Source organism: Homo sapiens, chromosome 16 (assembly GCF_000001405.40).
Source record: "Homo sapiens chromosome 16, GRCh38.p14 Primary Assembly".
In the NCBI taxonomy this organism is placed as follows: domain Eukaryota; kingdom Metazoa; phylum Chordata; class Mammalia; order Primates; family Hominidae; genus Homo; species Homo sapiens.
The window spans coordinates 81,138,597-81,150,933 of NC_000016.10; the positions used below are offsets into that span (position 1 = coordinate 81,138,597).

General features: G+C 49.9%; 1 pseudogene across 1 annotated transcript in view, besides 1 other annotated feature; it reads right to left on the reverse strand.

The window, feature by feature from the left end:
- PKD1L2 (polycystin 1 like 2 (gene/pseudogene)) overlaps positions 1–12,337 on the reverse strand; it is a 119,520-nt pseudogene that overhangs the window by 37,722 nt on the left and 69,461 nt on the right. The window contains exons 28-32 of the transcript NR_126532.3: positions 11,094–11,293; positions 9,544–9,761; positions 8,702–8,918; positions 2,701–2,929; positions 912–1,116 (exon numbers count right to left, since the gene is read on the reverse strand). The product of NR_126532.3 is annotated as a polycystin 1 like 2 (gene/pseudogene), transcript variant 1, non-coding (transcript). The remainder of the gene's footprint in view (positions 1–911; positions 1,117–2,700; positions 2,930–8,701; positions 8,919–9,543; positions 9,762–11,093; positions 11,294–12,337) is intronic.
- Positions 848–1,142: an enhancer, noted in NCBI's record as "tiled region #3111; HepG2 Activating DNase matched - State 8:EnhW, and K562 Activating non-DNase unmatched - State 13:Ctcf". NCBI's record gives its function as "activates a minimal TATA promoter and a strong SV40 promoter by Sharpr-MPRA in HepG2 cells, with weaker activation in K562 cells {active_cell/tissue: HepG2 | K562}" and the evidence as "EXISTENCE:reporter gene assay evidence [ECO:0000049][PMID:27701403]".

A 12,337-nucleotide genomic window follows, 5' to 3' on the forward strand; every position in this document is an offset into this window, starting at 1 on the left:
GTACTGGGATTACAGGCGTGAGCCACCGCGCCCAACCAAGATTTGCTTTAAATATCTCCTCCTTTCGGTGGCTTCCCCTACACCCCAATCCAGTATCTCTTCCCCTTAGGGGTTCCCCAGGGATTGCCCACTGCCCGACTCCTTCCAAGGGAAACTGTGCCCCTTGCCTCCTCTGCTCTACACCTGGATTTAGGATTTCTTTCTTTCTTTCTTTTTTTCTTTCCACCATCCCAGGCTAACAGATCACCAGGAGCTGGTCTCATGGGAGCTGCCTGACCAAGGATTTTTTTTTTTTTTTTTTTTTTGAGGCAGGGTCTTGCTCTGTCGCCCAGGCTGGAGTTCAGTGGCGCAATCACAACTCACTGCAGCCTCAAACTCCTGGACTCAAGCGATCCTACCACCTCAACCTCCCAAAATACTAGGATTACTGGCATTGAGCCACCATGCCGAGCCAGAATTTCTTCAACTCTAACAAGTTCTTTTGCGTAATTTTACATCTCAGAAATAGGAGTGTAGCTTCTAACTCAGGCACACATATAATGACTTGGTGTTTTTTCCAAAGGGAAAATTCCTTTAAATTGCTGTCTTTTCCCTTGCAAGCAGACTCAGAAAAAAAAAAAAAATGAATAACTAGCTACATAAATTGTTGTCTTGTCTCAAGATCAAATGGATGTTAACATTGAGGAAATAGGGTATTATTTATACATATATATGTATACCCTAGGGCAAGGGTAACCTCGGGTAATATGATAGGGCTATTTTTCCTGCCTTGGGCCTGCCCAGAGGGGGTGCTCCAGGTTCATTTGTTGAATATATAAATAAAGGAATAAAAGCCCAGGGACTAGACTGCTGGCAGTAGGGAAGGGATGGGTGGAGGGGAGGAGGGCGGGTGCCTGAGGCAGGGTCCTGACCTTCAGGGGCTGGGTGACGAACATGCTCTCCACGAAGGAGACAGCCATGGAGATGAGCCACCTGAGGGAGCTGGCCCTCCCGTAGTGCAGGCCGTAGAGCATGGTGAAGAAGGCCGCCACGCCACTGGTGGCCGCTACCAGGAGCCAGCCCACCAGGATGCACCACCAGGGCAGGCCTTGAGGGGGTTTGCTCACCTGAAGAGCGCTGCAAAGGAGGTGGACAGACATAGTTAGGGTGGCCACACCCCCAGGCAATCTCAAGGTCAAACCCCACTCTACTCTGATCAGCATGACCTTGGCCAAGCTCCTGGACCTCTCAGATCCTCTGTTTCCTTCTCTGTAATCTATACCTATCTCAAAGGTCTATGCCATAGTCTGTGGAGTAAAAGCAGTTACATTTACTCAGTGCTTAGTAGGGGCAAGTCCCCGCACTAAATGCTACACACAGATTTGCTCTGTTATTGCTCAGGGCAAGCCTAGAAGGCAGATACCATAGAATCTTGTTTTAAGTTTTCTCCCCCCGGGTGCAGTGGTTCATGCTTGTAATCCCAGTACTTTGGGAGGCCAAGGAGGGCGGACCACAAGGTCAGGATTTCGAGACCAGCCTGGCCAACATGGCGAAACCCCGTCTTTACTAAAAATACAAAAATTAGCCGGGCGTGGTGGCGGGCACCTGTAATCCCAGCTACTCGGGAGGCTGAGGCAGGAGAATTGGTTGAACCCGGGAGGTGGAGGTTGCAGTGAGCCGAGATCGTGCCATTGCGCTCCAGCCTGGGCAACAAGAGCAAGACTCTGTCTCAAAAAAAAGAAAGAAAATTCTCATCATACAAAAATTAGTGAGCACAGTGAATACCCAGGTGTTTATTAGCTGGCAACCACTATCACCCCTTGTCACACTTATTTCATCTGCCCCTCAGCCCTGTTTTGTTTTTGTTTTTGGCTGGAAAATTTCAACATAAATTCCAGACATAATACAAAATAATTCCTAGTCACTTCAGAATGCATCTCAAAAGTGGCCATTTTTGCCAGGCGTGGTGGCTCACGCCTGTAATCCCAGCACTTTGGGAGGCTGAGGCAGGTGGATCACTTGAGGTCAGGAGTTCGAGACCAGCCTGGCCAACGTGGTGAAAGCCCATCTCTACCACAAATACAAAATTTAGCTGGGCGTGGTGGTGGGCACCTGTAATCTCAGCTATTCGGGGAGGCTGAGGCAGGAGACTCACTTGAACCCAGGAGGCAGAGGTTGCAGTGAGCCGAGATCACGCCATTGCATTCCATCCTGGGTGACAGAGCAAGACTCTGTCTCAAAAAAAAAAAAAAAGGCAATTTTCTTACTGAATTACGATGCTGTTTTCACACAGCTAAATTAACAGTAATTTTTAAATGTCACCTAGTAACCTGTCTGTATTCAAAGTTCACTGGTTATCTTAAAAAATGCATTTTGTTTTAAGTTTGAATCAAGAGATAGGCGTCATCATTCCCATTTTAAAGATCAGGAAACTAAGCCTGAGAAGTTGAGGAGCCGGTCCAAGAGTGAAGTGCACAGATGGGAAACAGCCCACAGGAACACCGTTGTGACTGTAGCATGCGGTACAAAGGGCCCTGAGTGCCTTCCAGCAAACAGACCTGTTCAAACCCGGCCTCCCTGAATGTGTGCAGGAATCCTGCATTGTTTCTGCCTGGCAAGGTCTGGGTGGACATCCTTCCAAGATTGTTCAGAATGCCCTTTCCAGACGGCCCCAGGCTGGGGCAGGCAGGCACCCACTCAGCCCCCAGGGAAGTGGATTACCTGGCATGTGCAGGGGCCCAGGTGCCCGGCTGTACCCCCAGGCCGCCCTTCAGGGTCTGCAGCTGCCTGAGGGCCTGGGCATGGCTGTGGGGCTGGGAGAAGCCTCGGGGCCCCACCAGCCGCAGCTCTTGCTCCACGTGTTCCAGCTGAAGGTACAGACACTGCCTGTAGGCGCTGTCCTTCCAGGGGCCACTCCGTGCCGCCTTGGGCTTGGGACACTGTGATTTCTCTGGAGGACAAAGAAGAAAGCGATCAGCTTGTGCTGAGTCACAGAGCAAACCAGCTGCAATACAAACAACAGCCAGGTGGGGCGGCATGCGCAGGTGGTCCCAGCTACTCGGGAGACTGAGGCAGGAGGATCGCTGGAGCCCAGGAGGGCGAGGCTGCAGTGAGCTATGATGGCGCCACTTCACTCCAGCCAGGGCAACAAAGCCAGATCCTGTCTCCAAACAAAACAAACAAACCTCCCCCCACAAAACACAACAGTAATAGTACCAGCTTCTGAGTATGAAATGCTTGCTATGTGCCAAGCCCTGAGAAATCTGAGGTTCAAAGAGACGGAGTAAGGTTTTAGGGTCACACAGCCAGTTAGGATTCGATGTTTCTCTTTTAGATTTTTATCAGAGTCATTCTTCAAATTTCCCTACACATCAAGAGAACAGAGGAGAATCCCATACTCATCACTCCAGCTACAACAATGACCAACATTTGGCCAGTCTTGTCTCATCTCTTTTCTTCTCCTGGAGCTTTTTTTTTTTTTTTTTTTGCAGTGAAGTCTCACTCTGTCTCCCCAGCTGGAGTGCAGTGGTGTTATCTCAGCTCACTGCAACCTCCACTTCCTGGGTTCTAGAAGCAGTTCTCTTGCCTCAGCCTCCTGAGTAGCTGGGACTACAGGCGCACGCCACCACGCCCAGCTAGTTTTTGTATTTTTAGTAGAGAGATGGGGTTTCACCATGTTGGCCAGGTTGGTTCTAAACTCCTGACCTCAGGTGATCCGCCCGCCCCGGCCTCCCAAAGTGCTGGGATTACAGGCGTGAGCCACAGTGCCCGCCCTCACCCCCCGACTCCCCCACCCCCTGGGCCCAGAGTATTTTAAAGCAAATACTTTAATATGGTAAGACTTGAATTTGAACCCTTTTTTGTCTAGTGCCAAATATAGTGTAATCCTGTCCCTTTGTTTTTTTGTTTTTTTTGTTGTTGTTGTTGAGACGGAGTTTTGCTCTTGTCGCCCAGGCTGGAGTGCAGTGGCGCAATCTCAGCTCACTGCAACCTCCGCCTCCCAGGTTCCAGTGATTCTCCTGCCTCAGCCTCCTGAGTAACCGGGATTACAGGCACCCGCCACCATGCCCAGCTAATTTTTTTTTTTTGTATTTTTAGTAGAGACGGATTTTTACCATGTTGGCCAGGCTGGTCTTGAACTCCTGACCTCAGGGGATCGGCCAGCCTCAGTCTCCCAAAGTGCTGGGATCACAGGCATGAGCCAGCACGCCCGGCCAATACAGTGTAATCCTTAATCTTGTGTTTTTAGCTTTTTTAAAAATTATGAAACATCTCAAACATATAAAATTAGAGCAAATGATGAGATGAAGCCACACAGCGACACAGCGTCAAAATGATCAAAATGACGCAGCGAGACTCCGTCTCAAAAAAAAAAAAAAAAAAGAAGAAATGCAGTTATAATCTTGTATCTTCCCTTCACCTACAGGACAAGCTTTTCTAACTGTGCTTAGCATCTCCAAGGCAGAGCACTATCCCACCTGGAGGTTGCCTTGAGAGACAGCAGTCCATCTGCAACCCAAAGAACGCCTCCGACGAAACTGTCTCTCATGTTGAGAGTTTCAGCCACTTGTACAGGCTAGCCCTGCCCAGGAAGGTGCAAGCTGGACCTCCTGGTAGATAATTCTAATTCACTGAAGTGCGTTACGCCGACCCCCACTGGCTTGCTTCCTCTCCTCCCCGCCATTCATGCCAAGTCTCCTTTTAAAATCCCTGCTTTCTGCCTCAGAGGTGTAGTGATATCCTTAAGTCAGGAAGCCTGTACTTCTTCCCCTAAGCTAGCTTTGGAATAAAAAGTTACTTCTCTTTCTCTCTCCACCCACCGACCTCTATCTCTTTTTGAGACAGGGTCTAACTCTGTCCCACAGGCTGGAGTGCAGTGGCGTGATCTTGGCTCACTGCAACTTCTGCCTCCCGGGCTCAAGTGATCTTCCCACCTCAGCTTCCCAAGTAGCTGGGGCTACAGGCACATGCCACCATGCCCAGATAAAAAAGTCACTTTTTTTTTTTTTTTGAGACAGAGTCTCACTCTGTCGCCCAGGCTGGAGTGCAGTGGTGCGATCTCGGCTCACTGCAACCTCCGCCTCCCAGGTTCACGCCATTCTCCTGGCACAGCCTCCCTAGTAGCTGGGTCTACAGGCACCCGCCACCACACCGGGGTAATTTTTTGTATTTTTAGTAGAGACGGGGATTCACCGTGTTAGTCAGGATGGTCTCGATCGCCTGACCTCGTGATCCGCCCGCCTTGGACTCCCAAAGTGCTGGGATTACAGGCGTGAGCCACCGCTCCCGGTCAAGAGTCACTTTTTAAATACCAGATCTCACTCTGATTAACTGGACTCTGCAAATGGCAAGCAACTATATCTGCATTTTGGTTACAGCCAGGTATATGCATCTCCAGCCCTGACTCAGATAAGGTTAGGGTGTTGGGTAAATGGCTATGGTGAGGTCAACTCCTACCTTCCTCTGACTCACAGCCTCCTCCCTCACCCTCCTGACTGGGCTCCCTCACTGAAGCCTCAGCTGAAGATTCCAAGTCAACACTTTATTTTGCAGGGCTTCTGCTAATGTTTCTGAAAGATAACATCACTGCCAATCATAACACCACTTACTGTATACCTGCTTTGTGTCAGGCTGGGATCTAAATACTTTACATGTCTTACAATCTTATTCAGCCCTCACAATAAGCCAACGAGCTAGGTGGATCAATACCCCTATTTTATATTTTTTTTACTTTGAGACACGGTCTCACCCTGTCAACCAGGCTGGAATGCAGTGGTGCAACCTTGGCTCACCGCAACCTCTGCCTCCCAGGCTCAGGCAGTCCTCCTATCTCAGCCTCTCAAGTAGCTAGAATTACAGGTATGTGCCACCACGCCCAGCTAATTTTTAACACACCCCCTTTTTTTTTTTTTTTTTTTGAGACAGGAGTCTTGCTCTGTCACCCAGGTTGGAGTGCAGTGGTGCAATCTCAGATCACTGCAACCTCCACCTCCCAGGTTCAAGTGATTCTCTTGCCTCACCTCCCAGGTTCAAGTGATTCTCCTGCCTCAGCCTCCCGAGTAGCTAGGACTACAGGCGTGTGCCACCACATGCAGCTAATTTTTTTATTTTTAGTAGAGATGGGGTTTTGTCATGTTGACCAGGCTGGTCTTGAACTCCTGACCCCAGGTGATCTGCCCACCTCGGCCTCCCAAAGTGTTGGGATTACAAGCGTGAGCCACCACGCCCAGCCAACACCTCTATTTTCTAAGGGAAGAAATGAAGTCTCAGAGAGGTTGAGCAACTTGTTTAAAGTTGCACCGCTGCTACTGCAGCTGGGAGATCCCAAGGTTCTGGCCGACTCCAGAGTTCATGTTCTTAAGGTCCAGTGTGTCCAGCTGTGAATGCTAAAACTCCCAAACTCAAAGTCAAGGATCTAGTGGAAGCAGGGATGACCTCCATAAGCAGCCCAAACCCAGCTCTCTGGGGCAAATTCTTTTTTTTTTCTTTTTTTTTGAGATGGAGTCTTGCTCTGTCACCCAGGCTGGGGTGCAGTGATGTGATCTCAGCTCACTGCTGACTACACCTCCCAGGTTTAAGCGATTCTCTGCCTCAGCCTCTTGAGTAGCTGGGACTACAGGGGCAAGTAACTCTATCAGGGGTGGGGCCAAGAATTATGAATTCAAATTGCTTATTCTATAAACCATACTTTCGTGTTCTAAACAAGGTTTAGATAGTGGCCACCCTTGTGTATTAAAAATGGTAGCATTCTAAACCCACATAACTATCCACCATGTTCCACAGAACATTTCTGTCACTGTAGAAAGTTCTATTGGATGGCACCGCTCTAAATGGGAAGATGGACAGGAAAGGGGCATGAAGGGAACCAGGAGACTAGTTGAAACCGGAATAATATGCCATATATACATTTGTTTAATGAAAAGAAAACAATGTTACTGGGTTCTAGCTGGATATTGTTGGAAAAACCTCTGAATTTGAGATCTTTTATCTCTGTCAAACAGATTAAGGAGTGTTAGAGAGGCATTAAAGACATAGTCGCACCAAACTGAGACTTTCTCCCTTTTTTTTAGAGCTAGGGTCTTGCTCTGTCACCCAAGCTGGGGTGCAGTGGCACCTGTAACCTCAAACCAGTTTGCTGTAACCTCAAACTCAAAAAAAAGACTCAAGGGATCCTCCCACCTCAGCCTTCCAAATAGCTGGGACTACAGGTGCCCATTGAGAAGGAGTCTTGCTCTGTTGCCCAGGCTGGAGTGCAGTGGTGTGATCTTGGCTCACTGCAACCTCCACCTCCCGGGTTCAAGTGATTCTCCTGCCTCAGCCTCCCAAGTAACTGGGATTACAGATGTGCACCACCACGCCCAGCTAATTTTTGTATTTTTAGTAGAGATGAGGTTTCACCATGTTGGTCAGGCTGGTCTCGAACTCCTGACCTCAAGTGATCTGCCCACCTTGGTCTCCCAAAGTGCTGGGAATACAGGCATGAGCCACCGTGCTTGGCTAACACCTGGTTAAGTTTTAAACTCTTTGTACAGACAGGGTCTCCCTATGTTGCCAACGCCGGTCTCGAACTCCTGGCCTCAAGCAATCCTCCCGCCTCAGCCTCTTAAAGTGCTGGGATTAGAGGCGTGAGCCAGTGCTCCCAGCCATTTGCTTAATTAGGAGGATTGAAAACGAATAGAGAAAGGAATAACTTTTCCAGTCTGCAATTCCATGTTCCTTAATGGTTTTTGCTGCCCTGACTGTGATCTTGCTTCCTGCCCCACATATTCAGGCACGGATCGAGTTCAGCTTTGCACCCCAGCACTCTACAGAAGAAGGCACCGAGGCATTGAGAATGGAGGTCACCTGTCCACGGTCACACAGCCGGCTAGTGGCAGAGCCAGGACCCAGACATGGTTCTTCCTAGTGGAGATGAGACAAAAGACAGATGGACGGCTCCCACCTCACGGAGTTTACATTCCAGGAAGGATGGCGCAAGCTTTAAACAATTTTCACCTGATTCATTAGTTGGCCACAAACAGGTTGAATGCAAGAAGCTTAGGGAGTTGGCCGGGCACAGTGGCTCACGCCTGTAATCCCAGCACTTTGGGAGGCCAAGGCAGATGGATCACGAGGTCAGGAGATTGAGACCATCCTGGCTAACACGGTGAAACCCCGTCTCTACTAAAAATACAAAAAATTAGCCGGGCGTGGTGGCAGGTGCCTGTAGTCCCAGCTATTCGGGAGGCTGAGGCAGGAGAATGGCATGAACCTGGGAGGCAGAGCTTGCAGTGAGCTGACATTGTGCCATTGCACTCCAGCCTGGGCGACACAGCGAGACTCCATCTCAAAAAAAAAAAAAAAAAAAAAAAAAACTTAGGGAGCTAAAGAGCGCGTGGTCAGAGGCCCTAGTGTAGGTTAGAGGCTTGGGTTGCTCCCCTGAAGAAGGAATGCTTAAGCCAAAACTAAAATTTCAGTAGGTATTGGCCTGGCGAAGAGAGGAGAAAGAACATTCTAGACTAAAGGACCAGCCTGTGTGAAGGCTGTTAGTGGGAAGGCAGCTTGGCATTGTAGGGACAGTAGGTGCCTGAGGTATACAGAGGGAGGGGATGGCCGGTGGTTCAAGCAGAGGCTGGTGAGGGAGACCTCTTGTTCCCCTAGTGATGCTGATGTACCCCTTTGCTGTGTCTCCACCCGGCCCCAAAATGCGGCTTCTCTTGGCACAGACATGTCCAGGGCTTACCTTTCATTTCTGATGACCCCAAAGTGAGTGTTACAGGGTCCTCTCTCTTTTTGGCTTCCTCCCAGAACACCTGCCCTGATGTGTTCTGTGGATAAATGACATCTTCCACCAAGGCGAGGAGACTGTTGATGTCCATCAAGTTCACTGAGTCCCAGCCCAAGGCGGGGGATGGCACCTTGAGAGCTTTGAAGAGGGAGCTGACGATTCTTGACACATCCTGGTGGGGAAAGGGGCCATAAGCCAAGGTGAGGGGTGCAGCACAGGGGTCAAGAGCACACGCCCTGGGCCTGGCAACCTGTGTAGGGACCCCTGCTCTGCCCACTGAGATGTGATAGTGACCTCCCTGAGCTTCCATTTGTCAGCTCTTGAATCCCTCTTCTAGGGTTTGAACTCATTCCAGGCTGTACTCCTCAAAGCGTGGCACACAGTAGGTGCTCAATGAAAGCTTACTGAATGCATCAACGCAGAGCGGGGAGTCTCGTCCATGGGCTTCCAGCCTGGGAGTCTACCATGAAGGCATAATTCTTTGCACACAGTAGATACTCAAAAAGTATGTGGGTGTATGCGTGTGTGCACATGTGCATGTGTATGTACATGTCTGTGTGTCTCTCTGTGTATGTGTGTGCATGTATGCATATGTGCACCTGTGTGTTTGTGTGTGCATGTGTGTACAGATGCATGGGTGCATGCATGTTGCATGTGTATGTGTGTCTTCAGTTGATGAATTTTGGCACCTCACGTTGCCAGGCAACACAGGGCTGCTGGGTCTCAAGCCCCAGGCCTCACCCCCACTTCTGCTGAGGCTACAGCACCCCCCAGGCTAGCTGAGGTTGAGGACCTGCCTTGGTCACTGCCTCAGGTGTCAGAAGGCCGTCCTCCATGGGCTGTGGGGAGGGAGTCAGGTTGGGGGACCCCCGGTCCCATTTTCCAGTGTTCTGCTCCTTCGCGACCCGGGGACGGGTGTTCTGAAAGATCTGAACAATCAGGAGGTTGATGGGGAACATGAGGATGGAGCTCTCCAGGCCAATCATCACCTCCTGCCAGGTGAATTCAATTTTACCTGGGGAAAGGGAAGGAAGGGATCAAAGGGAGAGGCCACCGCCCGGAGCCCAGTCCCTTCTGCCCCTTGTGGAAGCTGGCTGTGCAGTGAAGGGTTAACCCTGCCCAACGCCTGGGAGGTCACCGCTCAGCCCTTGGAAGTTCCCAACTGCTAAGAATGTCTTTGTTTCCCTAGGGTCTTGGGTCACACCGGATGGTCTGTGCTAATGATGAGATTTAGGTGGGGGCCTAGACCATATGATGTCAGCTTGACCTCTAGAGGGGCTGGAGGCGAAGGGCAGCCAAGTGGGTGTCAGCCATGCCTATATGTTGGAGCCCCAGTAAAAGCTCTGAATAGTGGCTGGGCATGGTGGCTCATGCCTGTAATCCCAGCACTTTGGAAGGTCAAGGTGGGTGGATTACCTGAGGTCAGGAGTTGGAGGCCAGCCTGGCCAACATGGTGAAACCCCTTCTCTACTAAAAATACAAAAATTAGCTGGGCATAGTGGTGGGTGCCTGTAATTCCAGCTACTCGGGAGGCTGAGGCAGGAGAATTGCTTGAATCCGGGAAGCAGAGGTTGCATTAAGCCGAGATCATACCACTGCATTTCAGTTTGGATGACAAGAGCAAAACTCTGTCTCAAAAAAAAAAAAAATTGTGAATTGCAAGGCTGGAGTGAGTCCCCCTGGTTGGCAATACTCCATGTGCACTGTCACACATCCTCAGGAGAAGTCAGCACCATCCACGACTCCACTGGGAGAGGATGCTGGAAGCTATGTGCCTGGTCTCTTCTGGCCCCTGCTCCATGTGTCTCTTCCCTTTGCTGGTTTTAATCTGTATCCTTTCTGTGTTTTTTGTTCTTTTGGTTTGTTTGTTTATTTTTTTTTTTTTTGAGATGGAATTTTGCATTTTTTTACCCAGGCTGGAGTGCAATGGTGAGATCTCAGCTCACTGCAATCTCCGCCTCCTGGGTTTAAGTGATTTTCCTGCCTCAGCCTCCTGAATAGCTGGAACTACAGGTGTGCACCACCACACCCGGCTAATTTTGTATTTTTAGTAGAGATGGGTTTTCACCATGTTAGCCAGGCTTGTCTCAAATTCCTGACCTCAGGTGATCCACCTGCCTTCGCCTCCCAGAGTGCTGGGATTACAGGCGTGAGCCACCGTGCCAGCTGTATCCTTTCACTGCAGTAAACCATAACTATGAGTACAATGGGTTCTGTAAGTCCTGCTAGTGGATCACTGAACTGGAGGGCGGTCTTGGGGACTCTGGAATGGCAGTGGCATTGCTGGAGCAGTGAAGGCTCAGGTCCACCAGCCACTAACCCTGACCTCCATGACACTGGGAATTACCCAAGTCCATCTTTTGCTCAGCTGGGTCCTTGGGGACCCCCCAGAACATGATGCTGGTCAGCATGGTGCACAGCAGCAGGGAGAAGCAGCAGGACACCCTCTGGACGCGGGTGAAGCTGCTGCGAGCGCAGCGGCTGAAGATCGAATACCAGATGTGTCCATCCTGGAAGCCCGCGGAAGTCTTCATGAAAAACAGGTGGCTGCAGGCAGGCAGGGAGAGAGGGACAGGCATTTAGGGAGACAGGAATGGGGGAAACTGGTCTCTGTGGGTCGTTCTTGGGATGAGAAGCAGGAAGAGCGGCAGAGATTTGTTTCTAAGATTGTTCACACTTTTTTTTTTTTTTTTTTTCAGATAATGTCTTGTGTCTTGCTCTGTCACCCAGGCTGGAGTGCAATGGCACGATCTCGGCTCACTGCAACCTCTGCCTCCCAGATTCAAGCAACTCTCCTGCCTCAAACTCCCAGGTAGCTGGGATTACAGGTGCCCACAACCACGCCTGGCTAATTTTTTGTATTTTTAGTAGAGACATGGTTTCACCACATTGGCCAGGCTGGTTTCACACTCCTGATCTCAAGTGATCTGGCCGCCTTGGCCTCCCAAAGCGCTGGGATTACAGGTGTGAGCCACCGCGCCTAGCCACATTTTTTTTTCGGATGGAGTCTTGCTCTTGCCAGGCAGGAGTGCAGTGGCATGATCTTGGCTTACTGCAACCTCTGCCTCTGGGGTTCAAGTGATTCTCCTGCCTCAGCCTCCCAAGTATCTGGGACTACAGGTGTGAGCTATTTTTTTTTTTTGTATTTTTAGTAAAGACGGGGTATCACCATGTTGGCCAGGATGGTCTCGATTTCTTGACCCCTTGATCCACCCGCCTGAGCCTCCCAAAGTGCTGGTATTACAGGCATGAGCCACCGTCCCCGGCTCCCCCCCCAATTTTTTTTTTTTTTTTTAATAGAAGAAACACAGCATCTTAGCAGCATCACTTAGAGTTAACAATGAAGGCTCTGGAAGTCAGATTAGAATTACAGACGGCCCTCTTCCCAGCTGTGTGACCTCGGGCACGTTACTTTGTTCTTTGTACCTTAGATGACTTGTCTGTAAATTGGGGCAAGTAATAATAACAGAACCTACCTCACTGGATTGTTGAAAGGAATAAAAGTGATGATTCTGTAAAGCATTTGGGGCAGTAGCTGGCATATAGGTCAATATTCAATCAGTGTCAGCATTGTTATTTTTGCTGTAATTT